The sequence below is a fragment of the Homo sapiens genome, chromosome 4 (assembly GCF_000001405.40).
Source record: "Homo sapiens chromosome 4, GRCh38.p14 Primary Assembly".
Taxonomy (NCBI): domain Eukaryota; kingdom Metazoa; phylum Chordata; class Mammalia; order Primates; family Hominidae; genus Homo; species Homo sapiens.
Genome location: NC_000004.12, coordinates 23,396,196 through 23,411,133, shown reverse-complemented (window position 1 = coordinate 23,411,133; position 14,938 = coordinate 23,396,196). Strand labels below are relative to the sequence as shown.

General features: G+C 35.2%; 2 long non-coding RNA genes across 2 annotated transcripts in view; one reads left to right on the top strand and one right to left on the bottom strand.

Moving 5' to 3' along the window:
* Positions 1-14,938, bottom strand: part of LOC105374524 (uncharacterized) — a 507,306-nt gene that overhangs the window by 93,704 nt on the left and 398,664 nt on the right. Inside the window, exon 18 of the long non-coding RNA XR_007058437.1 lies at positions 1,758-1,838. This is a non-coding gene — a long non-coding RNA (uncharacterized LOC105374524). The remainder of the gene's footprint in view (positions 1-1,757; positions 1,839-14,938) is intronic.
* Positions 10,726-14,938, top strand: part of LOC105374523 (uncharacterized) — a 97,876-nt gene continuing 93,663 nt past the window's right edge. Inside the window, exon 1 of the long non-coding RNA XR_925461.2 lies at positions 10,726-10,817. This is a non-coding gene — a long non-coding RNA (uncharacterized LOC105374523). The remainder of the gene's footprint in view (positions 10,818-14,938) is intronic.

Genomic DNA, 14,938 nt, shown 5'->3' with positions numbered 1-14,938 from the left:
CTTGCAGAGAGTCCACAACATTCTTAACATCACTTATCAGAGCATGTTTTAATTTATTATAGTTTTTTATTTATATTCTCCTTCTCTTTTTTAGGTTCTGTGAATCCAGGATCTTCTCTCCTCCCTGGGTCAGTGGAAGAAGTGAATGAATAAGGTAGAGGTAGACATCTGAGTCAATGAGTACAAGATAAAGATGTAAAAAGTGATAATATTTACAAAGAAAAATAGTCTATTTCCATTTCTGTAACACTCATTTCTGAACTATAAAACGTATGTAATACCTGAAGGTGAATGCATTCATTGTCCAATTAACCCCTTACTGACTTCTGGGCATTAGATATTTTGGTTCCTAGAGGTATGTTGTCATGTGCTACAGAGGATGATGACAAGCAACTGCATTAAAAAAAGGCATATATGCCCACAATATAGCAATCAAATAGAAAAAAATATGTAAATCTTATGAGAAATGTAATATAATTTACAAAATTATTTTACTACAAATTTATATGCAATACATAACAATCACATATAAACTAGTATATGGGAAGACACTATTTCATGGAACTATCAATAAAATAAAATGAGAAAGAGAAATAGATCCATGGGAGATGCACAGATAGAATTTATTAGACACACACTTAAAAATATCTATGTTTACTACATTCAAGTAATTATATAACAAGATGGAACTTTTTTTAAGGAGACATAAAACGTATAATTGACAATAAAATAAAAATTATAGAACTGAAGATAAAATAACTGAAATAATTCAGTAGATGCTTTTAGAAGGTTAGATAACTGAAGAGAAAATTAGTGAACTGGAAGACAAGTCAGGAAAAATAGACAGACTGAAATGTGAAGAGACAAATAGATGGACAACAGAAAAAAGGCATTAGACACAAATGCGATACAATGACAAGTTCTAATATACATATAATTGAAATATCAGAGAGGAAGAAGATTAAAATAGGCAATATTGGCAGATATATGGCTGAAAACCTTATAAAACTATTGAAAGATATCAATATAAGAGATAAGAAAGTTACAAATCTCAAACAGAATGAATGCAAAAACAAACAAGCAAACCCACAGTCAGTCATATTATAGTAAAACTGCTGAAAACCAAAGTCAATATCTTAAAAAAAAAATCCAGAGAGGACACATTGCATTCACTGAAGTAATAATATGACAAATGCTCAACAGAATCAACAGAAGCCAGAAGGCAATGAAATGAAATCTTAAAATTTCTGATAAAAACCTTGCAATCTTAAAATTCAATACCCAGAAATTGATGTTTTAAAAGAGCATGAAGATATTTTCAAACAAACAAAAAACAAAACCAATAGCTGCCATTGGATTGGCGGTAAAGTCATTCAGTAAAGGAAATGTTAAATGTGTTTAGGCAGAAAGAAAATCATCCAAAGAATGAATAAAAGTGAATAAAATGGCTAGAAATGTTTGTAAATACAAACAAATATTGACTGTTCCAAACAACAATGAGCTAGCCAGGCTAGACTGTTGAGCTTGGGCTTCCAGCACAGTGACCCTGCCCCCGCTTGAAATCTGTAGGTGGGCACAGCTGTGTTCCCCTAGAAAACATCCAGAGATGTGTGGCCTCCCACCCCTACTGCTCCTAATCAGGCAAGACTTACCAACATGGGAAGTCCCTGAGCAGAAGAGTAGCCCCCATTCTCAGAACACTGAGAGGGTTGAGATACCCATGTTCTTGGGCTGGTGGAGGAATGGGGCATGCCTACCTTCACAGGGCCAGACTGGGAAGAATGCGTCCTGTCAGCCATCCATGGCCACTGTCTGAGGGAGTCCCACAGCCTGGAGGCCTGGAACACATTAAAAAGTGATATGGTTTGGCTGTGTCCTCACTCAAATCTCATCTTGAATTGTAGTTTCCACAATACCCACATGTTGTGGGAGGTACCCGGTGGGAGGTAATTGAATCATGGGGGCTGTTACCTCCATGCTGCTGTCATGATAGTGAGTTCTCACAAGATTTGGTGGTTATATGAGGGGATTTCCCCACCTTTGCTCTGCACTTCTCCTTGATGCTGCCACGTGAAGAAGGACTTGTTTGCTTCCCCTTCTGCCATGACTGTAAATTTCCTGAGGCCTCCACAGCCATGCTCAACTGTGAGTCAATTAAACTTCTTTCCTTTATAAATTACCCAATCTTGGGTATGTCTTTATTAGCAGTGTGAGAACAAACTAATACAAAAGAAAATGTGGATGTGCTATCAGTGATCAGTGGTGGCTAATTTAAAGCTTAAGAGTAGACCTGGTGAGGGACAGTCATCCATTTTCTTCCTGATCACACAGCATAAGTGAACATGTTGAAATGCAGAAGAGCCATGTGGCTGAATAAGAGCCATGTGGCTGAATAAGAGCCTATCTGTCAGCTGTCATTCTTAAGCACCACCTACTGTATCACGGTCCAAATTACAATGCCAAAAATATTCTGCCAGTACACAGGTGCCTGTAAAACCTAAGGAAATCTTCAGCCACAAATTGAGATCCTTTATAGATCCTTGACCTTTTGAAAGCATCCAGAAATGAAGCCAATTGACTACACTCAACCTACATCACAGTTAAAGAAACACTAGCCCTCTCAGATGAGAAATAATAAGTGAAAGAATTCTGGCAATTTAAAAAGCCAGTGTGTTTTTTTACCTTCAAACACACTAGAACCCAGCAATGGTTCTTAAATAGATTGAAATGACTGAAATGACAGATGTAGAATTCAGAATCTGGACGTCAAAAAGCTCATCAAGAACCTGGAGGAAGTTGAAACCCAATCCAAGGAAAACAAGGAACCCAGTAAGAAAGATCCAAAAGTTGAAAGACAAAACAGCCATATTAAAAAAAGAACCAAACTGAACTTCTAGAATTGAAGAATTCACTATTACAAAGATTTCATAATATAGTCATAAGCATTAACAGAAAAATAGACCATGATGAGAAAATATTCTCAGACTTGAAGACTAGTTCTTGAAATTAACTCAGACAAAAATTTTTAAAAAAGAATTTTAAAAAATGAATAAACCTCTAAGAATATAGGATTATATAAAGACACAAATCTATGACTCACTGGCATTCCTGAGAGAGAAGGAGAGAGGGAGAGAGAGTAAGAAACTTGGAAAACATAGTTGAGGATACAGCCCATAAAAATTTTCCCAATATGGCTAGAGAAGTAGACATACAAATTCAAGAAATACAGAGAACCCCTGTGAGATACTATGAAGGCAAATGTCTCCAAAACACACAGTCATCAGATTCACCAATGTCAACACTCACAAAAAGTCTTAAAAGCAGCTAGAAAGAAAGTTCAGGTCACTTACAAAAGGAACCCTATTAGGTTAGCAGCAGATCTCAGCAGAAACTTTACAATCCAGAAGAGATTAGGGGCCTATTTTCAGCATCTTCAAAGAAAATTTCAACCATGAATTTTATATTCTTCTAAATGAATCTTCATAAAGGAAGGATAAATTAAAACATTATCAAAAAAGCAAACACTAAGGAAATTTGTTACCACTATACCAGCCTTAAAAAGGGTCTTTAAGGGAATGCTAAACATAGAAATGAAAGATTGATACCTGCTACCACAAAAAAACACAGAAGCACATAGCACACAGACAATATAAGACAATTATATGATCAAGTTTACAAAACAACCAGCTTACAACACAATGACTGGATCAAAATCTTGCATATCAATACTAATGTTGAATGTAAGTGGTCTAAACACCAGCTTAAAAGGCACAGAGTGGCAAGCTGAATAAAAAACATGACCCAACTGTCTGCTGTCTTCAAGAAACCCATGTCACATGTAACATCACTCACAGGCTTAAAGTAAATGGATGGAGAAACAAAAAAGAGGGAAAAACATAAAAGAGCAGGAGTCATCATTCTCATACCAGATAAAACAGGCTATAAACCAACAACGATCAGGAAGACCAAAGAAGGGCGTTAAACAATAATAAAGGGTTCAATTCAACAAGATGACTTAACTATCATAAATATGTATGCATCCAACATAGGAGCACCCAGAATCATAAAACAAGTTTTTCTTAACCTATGAAAACACATACACAGTCATACAATAATAGCAGGGGAATTCAATACCCTACCGATAGAATTAGACACAAAAAAAATTGAGGAAGAAAAATAACAAAGAAATTCAGAACTTAAACTCAACATTTGACCAATTGGACATCAGAGACGTCTACGGAATACTCTACCCAACAATACAGCATTCTTCTCATCCATATATGAAACATATTCTAAGATTGACCACATGCTCAGTCATAAAGCCAGTCTCAATAAATTCAAAAATGTAGAAATTATACCAACAACATTCTTGGACCACAGTGCAGTAAAAATAGAAATTATTAAAAAGAACAACTCTCAAAACTATGCAAAAACATGATAATTAGAAACTTGCTCCTAAATAACTCTTGGGTGAACAACAAAATTAAGGTGGCAATAAAAAACTATTTGAAATTAATGAAAACAGAGACTCAACTTACCAAACTAATTGGGTTGCAACTAAAGCAGTGTTAAGAGGAAAGTTTACAGTGCTAAATGTCTCCATCAAGCAGTTAGAAAGATCTCAAATTAACAATGTAATGTCACACTTAGAGGAACAAGAAAAAAAAAAACTCCAAAGATAGCAAAAGAAATAAATAACTAAATCAGAGAAGATCTTAATGTAATTGAGATGCAAAAGTCCATTTTAAGCTCAATGAAACCAAGAGTCAGTTCTTCAAAAGAATAAACATGATTGATAGAATGCTAACTGGATTAACAAAGAAGAAAAAAGATTAAAACAAACACAATTAGAAATGACAAAGATGGCATTACAAACAATCCCAAAAAATACAAAATATCTTCAGAGCCTGTTATGGAAACACACAACCTCACAATATTGAACCAGAAAGAAAGTGAGAACCTGAACAGACTAATTACAAGTCCCACAATCTGAATCAGTAATAAAACAATCTCACAACAACAGCAACGACAACAACAACATATGGACCAGATGGATTCACAGCCAAATTCTACCAGAAGTGCAAAATACTGACAGCAATCCGTCTGAAAATATTTCAAAAAATAAGGAGGTAGGACTCCTCCCTAACTCATTTTACAAAGCCAGCATCATCCTGATACCAAAATCTGGCAGAGACAAGATAACTTCAAGCCAATATTCCTAATGAACATAGGTGTAAAAACCTTAACAAAATCCTGGCAAATCAACTACAGCAGCACACCAAAAAGTTACTTCAGCATGATCAAGTGGGCTTTATTCCTGGGACACAAGATTGGTTCAACATATACAAATCAATAAATGTGATTCTGCATAAACAGAATCAAAAACAAAAATTACATTATTATCTCAATAGATGCAAAGAAAAGCCTTTGATAAAACTCAACATCCTTTCAGGATAAATCCCCCAACAGGCTAGGCATTGAAAGAACGTACCTCAAAATAGTAAGAGCCATCTATGAGAAACCCACAGCCAACATCATACTGAATGGGCAAAAGCTAAAACTATTCCTCTTGGGAACCAGAACAAGACCACTCTCGCCACTCCTATTCAACATAATTCTGGAAGTCTTAGCCAGAGCAATCAGGCAAAAGACAGAAATAAAATGATTTTAAATAGGAAAAGGAGTAAAACTATCTTTGCTGATGACATGATCCTATACATAGAAAAAGCTAAAGACTCTAACAGTCTCCTGCATAACAATTTCAGTGAAGTTTCAGAATATAATATCAGTGTAAAAACATCAGTAGTGTTTCTCTACCCTAATAACATTCTAGCTGAGAGCCAAATCACGAACACAATCCCATTTGCAATAGCCACCAAAAATGAAATACCTAGAAATACACAGAAACAAGGAGGTAAAACGTCTTTACAAGGAGAACTACAAAACACATCTGAAAGAAATTAGAGATGACAAAAATAAATGGAAAAACTATTCCATGTTCATGGATTAAAAGAAACAATAACACTAAAATGCCAAACTGCCCAATAAAATGTACAGATTCAGTGCTATTGTTATCAAAATGCCTCTTTTTTTCACTGAATTAGAAAAAAAAAAACTATTCTAAAATTCACATGGAACCCAAAATAAACCCAAACATCCAAAGCAATCCTAAGCAAAGGGAATAAAGCTGCAAGGATCACATTACTCACTTCAAACTATACTATAAGGCTACAGCAACCAAAACAGTATGGCATTCATACAAAAACAGATATGTAGACCAATGAAACAGAATAGAGAATCCAGAAATAAAGCCACACACCTCCAACCATCTGATCTTTGACAAAGTCAATGAAAATAGCAATGGGAAAAGGACTCCCTATTAAATAAATGGTGCTAGGATAGGTGGCTAGCCATATGCAGAAGAATGTAACTGGTTCTCTACCTTTCACCATATACAAAAATTAACTCAATATGGATAAAATATTTAAGTGCAAGACCTCAAACTGTAAAAATCCTGGAAGAAAATCTAGTAAATACCCTTCTCGATATTGGTTTTGGGAAAGAATTTATGGCTAAGCTCTCTAAAGCAATTGCAACATAAACAAAAATTAACAAGTGATACCTCATTAAACTAAAGAGCTTTTGCATAGTAAAATAAAGTATCAACAGAGTAAACAAACAGGCTACAGATTGGGAGAAAATATTTACAAACTATACATCTGAAAATGATCTAATATCCAGAATCTACAAGGAAATTAAACATCAACAAGGAAAAATCAAATAACACAATTAAGAAATGGGCAAAAGACTTGAACAGATACTTCTCAAAAGATACATGCAAGCAGCCAACAAACATATGAAAAAATGCTCAACATCACTGATCAGAGAAATGCAAATCAAAACAATAATTATATACTAGTCAGAATGGAAATTAGTAAAAAGTCAAAAAATAACAGATGCTGGCAAGGCTGTGGAGAAAAGGAAATGCTTATACACTGTTGGTGGGAATACAAATTAATTCAGGCACTGTGGGGAGCAGTTTGGAGAATTTAAAAAAAATTTAAAACAGAGCTACCATTTGACATAGCAATCCCATTACTGGGTATACACTCAAAGGAAAATAAATTGTTCTACTAAAAAGACACATGTACTTTTGTGTTCATCTCAGTGCTATTCACAATAGTAAAGACATGGAATCAATCTAGGTGCCCATTTGTATTAGTTTTCTCTTGTACTGCTATAAAGTAATACCTGAGTCTGGTTACTTTATAAAGAAAAGAGTTTTAACTGGCTCATAGTTCTGTGGGTTGTACGGGAAGCATGACGGCTTCTGGAAAGGCCTCAGGAAACTTTCACTCATGGTAGAAGGGTAATGGAAAGCAGGCATGTCTTACATAGCCTGAGCAGAAGAAAGGGAGTGAGATGGGGTCGGGGGACACCACATATTTTTAAACAACCAGATTTCATGAGAATGCTATCAGGAAAACAGCACCAAAGGGTTGGTTCTAAACCATTCATGAGAACTCCATCCCCATGATACAATCACCTGCCACCAGGCCCCACTTCCAACACTGGGGATTACAGTTTGACATGAGATTTGGACAGGGACAGAGATCCAAACCATATTAACATCATCAGTGGATAAGATAAATAAAATGTGGTACATATACATGGAAGACTACACGACCATGAAAAAGAGTAAAATCTTGTCCTTATTAGCAACATGGATTCAGCTGCAGGCCATTATCATATGCAAATTAACACAGAAACAGAAAACCAAATACTGCATGTTCTCACTTATAAATAGGAAATAAACATTGAATATACATGGACACAAATAGGAGAATAATAGACACTGAGGACTGCTAGAGGAGAATGGTAGGGAGAGGATCTTGTGCTGAAAAACTACCTATTGGGTTCTATGCTCAGTACCTGGGTGATGGAACCATCCATAACCCAAACCTCAGAATTATGAGGTATACCTATGTGAGATACCTATGCATGTACTCCCTGAATCTAAACTAAAATAAAAATAAAAAAGATTCAAATGGAAAAAACATAAAATATATTTAAAAACCAAAAATGAATATTGTTGGTTTATATAAATAAAATTAAAACATATTACAACACTAGCTCATGTATCAGGAAAAGGAGAAAAAGAAATTAAAGTGTTTTAAACATTGTAAAAATCAATTTATATTAGACTGTATTAAGGCAAGGATTCATGTTACAATCTCAAAACAATGACTAAGATAAAAGCAACTTCATACACATTTATAATCTAAACCTAGTATCTAAACAGTAAAAGAAAGATAGTTTAGCTAAATAAATGTCTAACAATGAAGAATTGAGCACAAAAATATACACGTTCATGATAGAGGAATAGTTCAAAGATACAATGGTCAATTAACCAGAAAGAAATAGTGATTCTAAAATGGCGTGCTCCAGTAACTCACTTAAAAATATCAAATAAAGTAAAAACTCACAGCACTAAAAAGAAATACATCTGAATCATAGTGGGAATTTTAACACACCTCTCATTATCTGAGAACAAATGCACAAAAACATCAATAAATATATAGAAATATACATGGTTTAATTGACAAATACAGAACACTGAACTCAAGAACTTCAAAATACACTTCCTTTTTCAGATCACAGAGAACATTTACCAAAACTTACTATATTGTATGACAAAGAGCATGTACAAACAAATATCAAAGGCGTGAAAAGTTGAAGAGATATTCTTTGACAAAAGTAGAATTAAGCTAGAAAAAAATGACCAAAATATAACTAAAAAAATCCACATATTTAGGAAAAAAAGTAACATCCTTGCAGTGTTTGTTAATTTAGATAAAGCCATAATTTAATATCATCAATAGTGATGCTAGAAGTTATTGTTTACTACAGGCCAGACACTTTTTCAATTTTCGAGAAATGTATTTGATATCTACTCATTAAATTAAACATTTTCAGGGGAAAACAAGGAGATAATCATGGTAAATAATAATACTAATATTTATTTAGCACTTAACATTGCCCAGCATTGTCAAGTAATAATTTCACAAGAATTACCTTACCTAATTTTCTGAGTAGAAAGATAATAGAAACATTATCATTGACACTTTTCAAATGAGAAATTCAAAGTTACAATTAATTGAATAATTTTCTTAATGTTTTCTGTGAGTAGCAACATTGCTAGAACACAGGCTGCATGACTGTAGATTTTATATTCCTGCATCTGTTATTTAAAATTCACTTCTTTTTTTGAAACAGGATCTCCCAGGCTGGAGTGCAGTGGCAGGATCATGACTCACTGCAGCATTTACCTCCTTGGCTCAAGCTATCTTCCCACAGTAACCTCGGAAGGAACTGGGATTACAGGTGTTTGGCACCAGCTATTGTTTTAGTATTATGTTTATTTTTGGTACAAAAGAGGTCTTGCTATCTTGTCCAGGCTGGTTTCGAACTCCTAGGCTCAAGTAATCCTCCTGCCAGTCTCCCAAAATGCTGAGATTACAGGCATGAGCCAACGTGCCTGGCCTAAAATTCACTTTTGATTTAAAAAAAAAAACAAAACCCGCAAATATCCACTCAAAATAAAGTGTAGCAACATTTAAGTAGTCTATCCTAAACTAATAACAACGATGATGTTTAAAGGCAAGTTACTGGAAAAAGTCATGTCAAAGTCAGCACAGGGAAATTTTGTTATGATTCTCCATACTTTCCAATATAATTAAGTTAAAATTTTAAAACGTGTTATAAATAGTGAACATTTAAACAAAACATAATTGTAAATATTATAAATGTACACCTCTCAAAAAATCAATGGAACAATTATTTGAATTAATAAAAGAATTTAGAACACGAACAATTATGAGACATTTGAAAGAATAAGAGCCTTCTTGTATACCAATATTAGCCAGGTAGAAAATATTTTCAAGACAAAATACCCTATTGAATTAGTGACAGAAATATAAGCAACTAAAATAAATATTAAAAGAGACATATTATACCATCATGAGAATGTTGACAGAAAATCAATGGAGGACATGAAGAAGATGGTGATTAAATTAATAAATATAGAATTCTAGATTAACTTATATATTTTATGACAGTCAGAAACTCTAGTAGAATTATTTTTCTTATTAAAAAAATCTATGTGAAAAATTTGTCCGGAAAACACTCTTCACAAGTTAAAATTAAATTTGAAAAGAGGAATAATAAAAGAAGACTTTCTTTACCAAATATTGAAATAATTGCTTAAAGCTGCCATAATTAAAGTCTTCTTATTGGAGAAGTAAGCAACATATTATTAAAGCTAGACAGAGCAGAAATAGACAAATACATCTATTAATTTAATGTATGACTAAAATTAAATGACAATGAATGGTGTTCAAACAACTGCCTGATCCTTTGGAACAGAATTGATTCCCAACTCATGACTTGTACCAAAATTAAAACTTAAAAAGCTAGCATGAAAAATTTAAATATAAAGTATACAACCATAAAAGTACTTCTATTTAAATGAGAAATTTAATTTTGGTATGTTAAGTGTGACAATAAAGGCAGAAATAATAATTCAAATTTAGATAAAAGGCAAAAAATAAAATTGAGTACAAAAAATTAAACATTTTTTGAAAAATTTAAATTAAATAAAAAAAAAGTTTTCATTTTTAAATTTTTCCTTTACTAAGAGAGGAGGTGGTGTAATACGGCCAAATAGAAGCCTTCGCTGATTGTACTCCCCACTGCAACATCAAATTTAACAACTATGTACAGAAAAAAAAATCACCTTCAAAAGAATAAAAAATCAGGTGAGCAATTATAGTAACTGATTTTAATTTTATATTGATGAAAGAGGCATTGAAGAGTGATGAAAGACAGTCTTGAGTGGCCAACACCACTCCTCCCCCGCCCTCCAGCAGTGGCCATGTGGTGTAGAGAATCTGCATTTGGTGGTGGGGGACTGCAGTAATGCAGTAATTGTGGGAACTATGCACTGGAACATAGTTCTGCCCTGTCACAGCAGAAAGTATCATCAGGCAGAACTCATCCAGCGTCCAGGGAGGGAGCATTTAGATGAGCCCTAACCAGAGGGGAATTGCACATCTCAGTGGATAAAACTTGAGTTTCTGCAAGCCTTGCCATTGTAGGCTATAGTACTCTGGGATCCTAAATAAACTTGAAAGGCAGTCTAGGCCACAATGACTGTAACTCTTAGGCAAGTCTAGTGATGTGCTGGGTTCAAAGCTAGTGGACTCCGGGGGCATGCAAACTAGTGAAACACCAGCCAGGGCAGCTAAGGGAGTGCCTGCACCCTTTTTCCAACCCCATGCAGTGCAGGTCACAGCTCTGAATGAGAGTCCTTTGTTCTGCTTGACAAGAGGAGATGGAAGAGTAAAGAGAACTTTGTCTTGCAACTTGGGTACTAGCTCAGCCACAGTAGGATAGGGCACTGGGACGACTTGTGAGGCCCGCATTGCAGGCCCTATTTCTGAGACTACATTTCTAGCACACCCTGGACTAGAAAGGAACCCACTGCCTTAAAGGAAAGGACCCAGTCTTGGCAGGATTTATCAATTTCCAAATAAAATGTCCTTTGGCCCTGAATAATCAGCAGTGGTACCCAGACAGCACTTACCCTGTGCCTTGCACAAGACTCTGAGATGTTCAGTTTTCTGGTGTGACCTAGCACAATCCCAGCTGTAGTGGCTGAGGAGCGACTACTTCTGCTTGAGAAAAGTGGAGGGAAGACTAAAGGGGACTTAGTCTTGCATCTTAAGTACCAACTCCACCACAATGGGGTATAACATTAAGCAGGCTTTTGGGGTCCCAGATTCCAGGCCTTGGATTTTGGATGGCATTTCTGGACCTTCCCTGGGCCAGAGGGGAGCTCATTGCCTTGAAAGGTGAGTCTCAGGCAAGACAGCATTCACCAGAAGCTGACTGAAGAGCCCTTGGGCCTTAAGTGAAAATTGACAGTAGCATGGCAATATTGTGCATGGGCTCGAGATGGTGGTGGCCACAGGGAAAGACTCCTCTGCCTGTGGAAAGGGGACGGAAGACTAGGAAGAGCTTTGTCTTGTGGTTTAAAGACCAGTTAAACTGCAGTAGAACAGAGCACCAGGTAAGTTTTTAAGGTTTCTGACTCTACACTTTGCTTCCTGGGTGGCATATCAGGAACAATATGAGGCCAGGGAATCTTGCCACCCTGAAGGAAACAACATAAGCCTGGCTGGCTTTGCCACCTGAAGACTGTAGAGCCTTAGGACTTTGAGTAGACATAGGTGGTAGGTAGTGATCACAGTGATCCTTTAGATCTGGCCCATACCAGAGTAGTGGCCACATGGATGCTTGAGTCACCCCTCCCTCAGCTCCAGGTAGCTCGGCACAGAAAGTGAGATTCCATTTGTTTAGAGGAAACTAAGAGAAGAGAATAAGAGTCTCTGCCTGGTAATACAGATAATTCTTGCAGATGTTATCCAAGACTACCAAGGTGGTACTTCTGTGAGTCTGCAAGAGCCACAATGTTACTGGGCTTGTGGTGGCCCCTGCTGCAGATATTGCAGCAGTGATCAAAAACTTGGATTACAAAACCCGAGTCCCTTTGAATATCTGGAAAGCCTTCCAAGGAAGGATGGGTATAAGCAAGCCCAGACTGTGAAGATTACAATAAATACATAACTGTTCAATGTCCAGACACGAATGAATATCATCAAGCATCAAGACCATTCAGGAAAACATGACCTCATCAAATAAACATAATAAGACCCCAGGAACAAATCCCAGAGAAAGAGTGAGAGAGAGAGAGAAAGAGAGAGAGAGAGAGAGAGAGAGAGAGAGAGAGAGAGATGTGGCTTTTCAGAGAATTCAAAGCACCTGTTTTGAGGAAACTCAAAGAAATTTAAGATAACATAGAGAAAGAATTCAGAATCCTATCAGATAAATTTAACAAAGAGATTGAAACAATTAAAAAGAATCAAGCAGAAATTCTGGAGGTGAAAAATGCAATTGACATACTGAAGAATGCATCAGAGTCTGTTAATAAGAGAATTGATTAAGCAGAAGAAAGAATTAGTGAGCTTGAAGGCAGACTATTTGAAAGTCAAAGGAAACAAAAGTCAGAGGGAACAAAAGAAAGAATAAAAAAGATTGAAGCATGCCTACGAGATTTAGAAAATATTTTCAGAAGGCCAAATCTAAGTTACTGGCTTTAAAGAGGAGGGAGAGAGAGAGAGATAGAGGTAGAAAGTTTATTCAAAAGGATGACAAGAGACCTTTCCAAACCTGGAGAAGAATATCTATATTTAAGTAAAGAAGGTGATAGAACACAAAGCAGATTTAATCCAAAGAAGGCATTTAATAATCAGTCTCCCAAAGATCAAGGTAAAGAAAGGATCTTAAAAGTAGCAAGTGAAAAGAAACAGATAACATACAATGGTACACCAATATGTCTGGCAGCTGACTTTTCAATGGAAACCTTACAGATCAGAATAGAATGCCATGATATATTTAAAGTGCTGAAGGAAAAAAAAACCTTTTTACCCTAGAATAGTATATCAGGCAAAAATACCCTTCAAACATAAAGAAGAAATAAAGACCTTCTCAGACAAACAAAAGTTAAGGGATTTCATCAACACCAGAGCTGTTTTACAAGAAATCCTAATAGGAGTTCTTAAATCTGAAAGAAAATAATATTAATGAGCAATAAGAATCACCTAAAGGTACAAAACTCACCAGCAATTGTAAGTACACAGAAAAACACAGGATATTATAACACTGTAATTGTGGTGTATAAACCACTCATATCTTAAATAGGAAGACTAAAAACTGAACTGATCAAAAATAATAACTACAACAACTTTTCAAGACATAGGTAGTCCAATAAGATACAAACAGAAACAAAATGTTTAAAAGTGAGGGCATCCAGTTGAAGTGTAGAGTTTTTATTAATTTTTTATTTGCATGTCTGTTAGTTTGTGCAATCAGTGTTATGTTGTCATCAGTTTAAAACAATGGATTATAAGAACTTATTTTCAAGCTTTATGGTAACCTCAAATAAAAAACATACAACATACATACAAAAAATAAAAAGTAAAATATACCACCAGAGAAAATCACTTTGTCTAAAAGGAAGACAAGACAGAAGGAAAGAAGGAAGAGAAGACCACAAAAAAAAAAAAACAGAAAACAACCAACAAAATAGCAAAAGTAAGTCCTTATTTATCAATAAGAGCACTGAATGAAAATGGACTAAACTCTCCAATCAAAAGACATGGAGTGGCTAAATCTATTAAAAAAAAATGAAACTCAATGATCTTTTGCCTACAAGAAACACACTTCACCTATAAAGACACACATAGACTGAAAATAATGTGATAAAAAAAAGATATTCCACGCAAATGGGAACAAAAAAAGCAGCAGTGGCCACACTTATATCACATAAAATAGATTTTAAGACAAAAACTATAAAAAGAGACAAAGAAGGCCATTATATAATGACAAAGTGGTTAATTTAGCAAGAGAATGTAACAATTGTACATATATATGCACCCAACACTGGAGCAATAAATAAGCAAATATTATGAGAGCTAAAGAGAAAGAGATAGGCCTCAATTACAATAATAGCTGGAGACTTTAACATCTCACTTTTACCTTTGGAAAGATCATCCAGACAGAAAATCAACAAAGAAACATCAGATGTAAACTGCACTTTAGACCAAATGTACCAAATAGATGTTTACAGGACATTTCATTCAATGACTGCAGTATACACACTCTTTTCCTCAACACATGAATCATTGTCAAGGATAGACAATATGTTAGCCCACAAAACAAGTTTTAATACATTCCAAAAAACTGAAATAATATCGAGCACCTTCTCTAATCACAATGGAATAAAATTAGAAGCCAATAACAGAGGAATTTTGGAAAC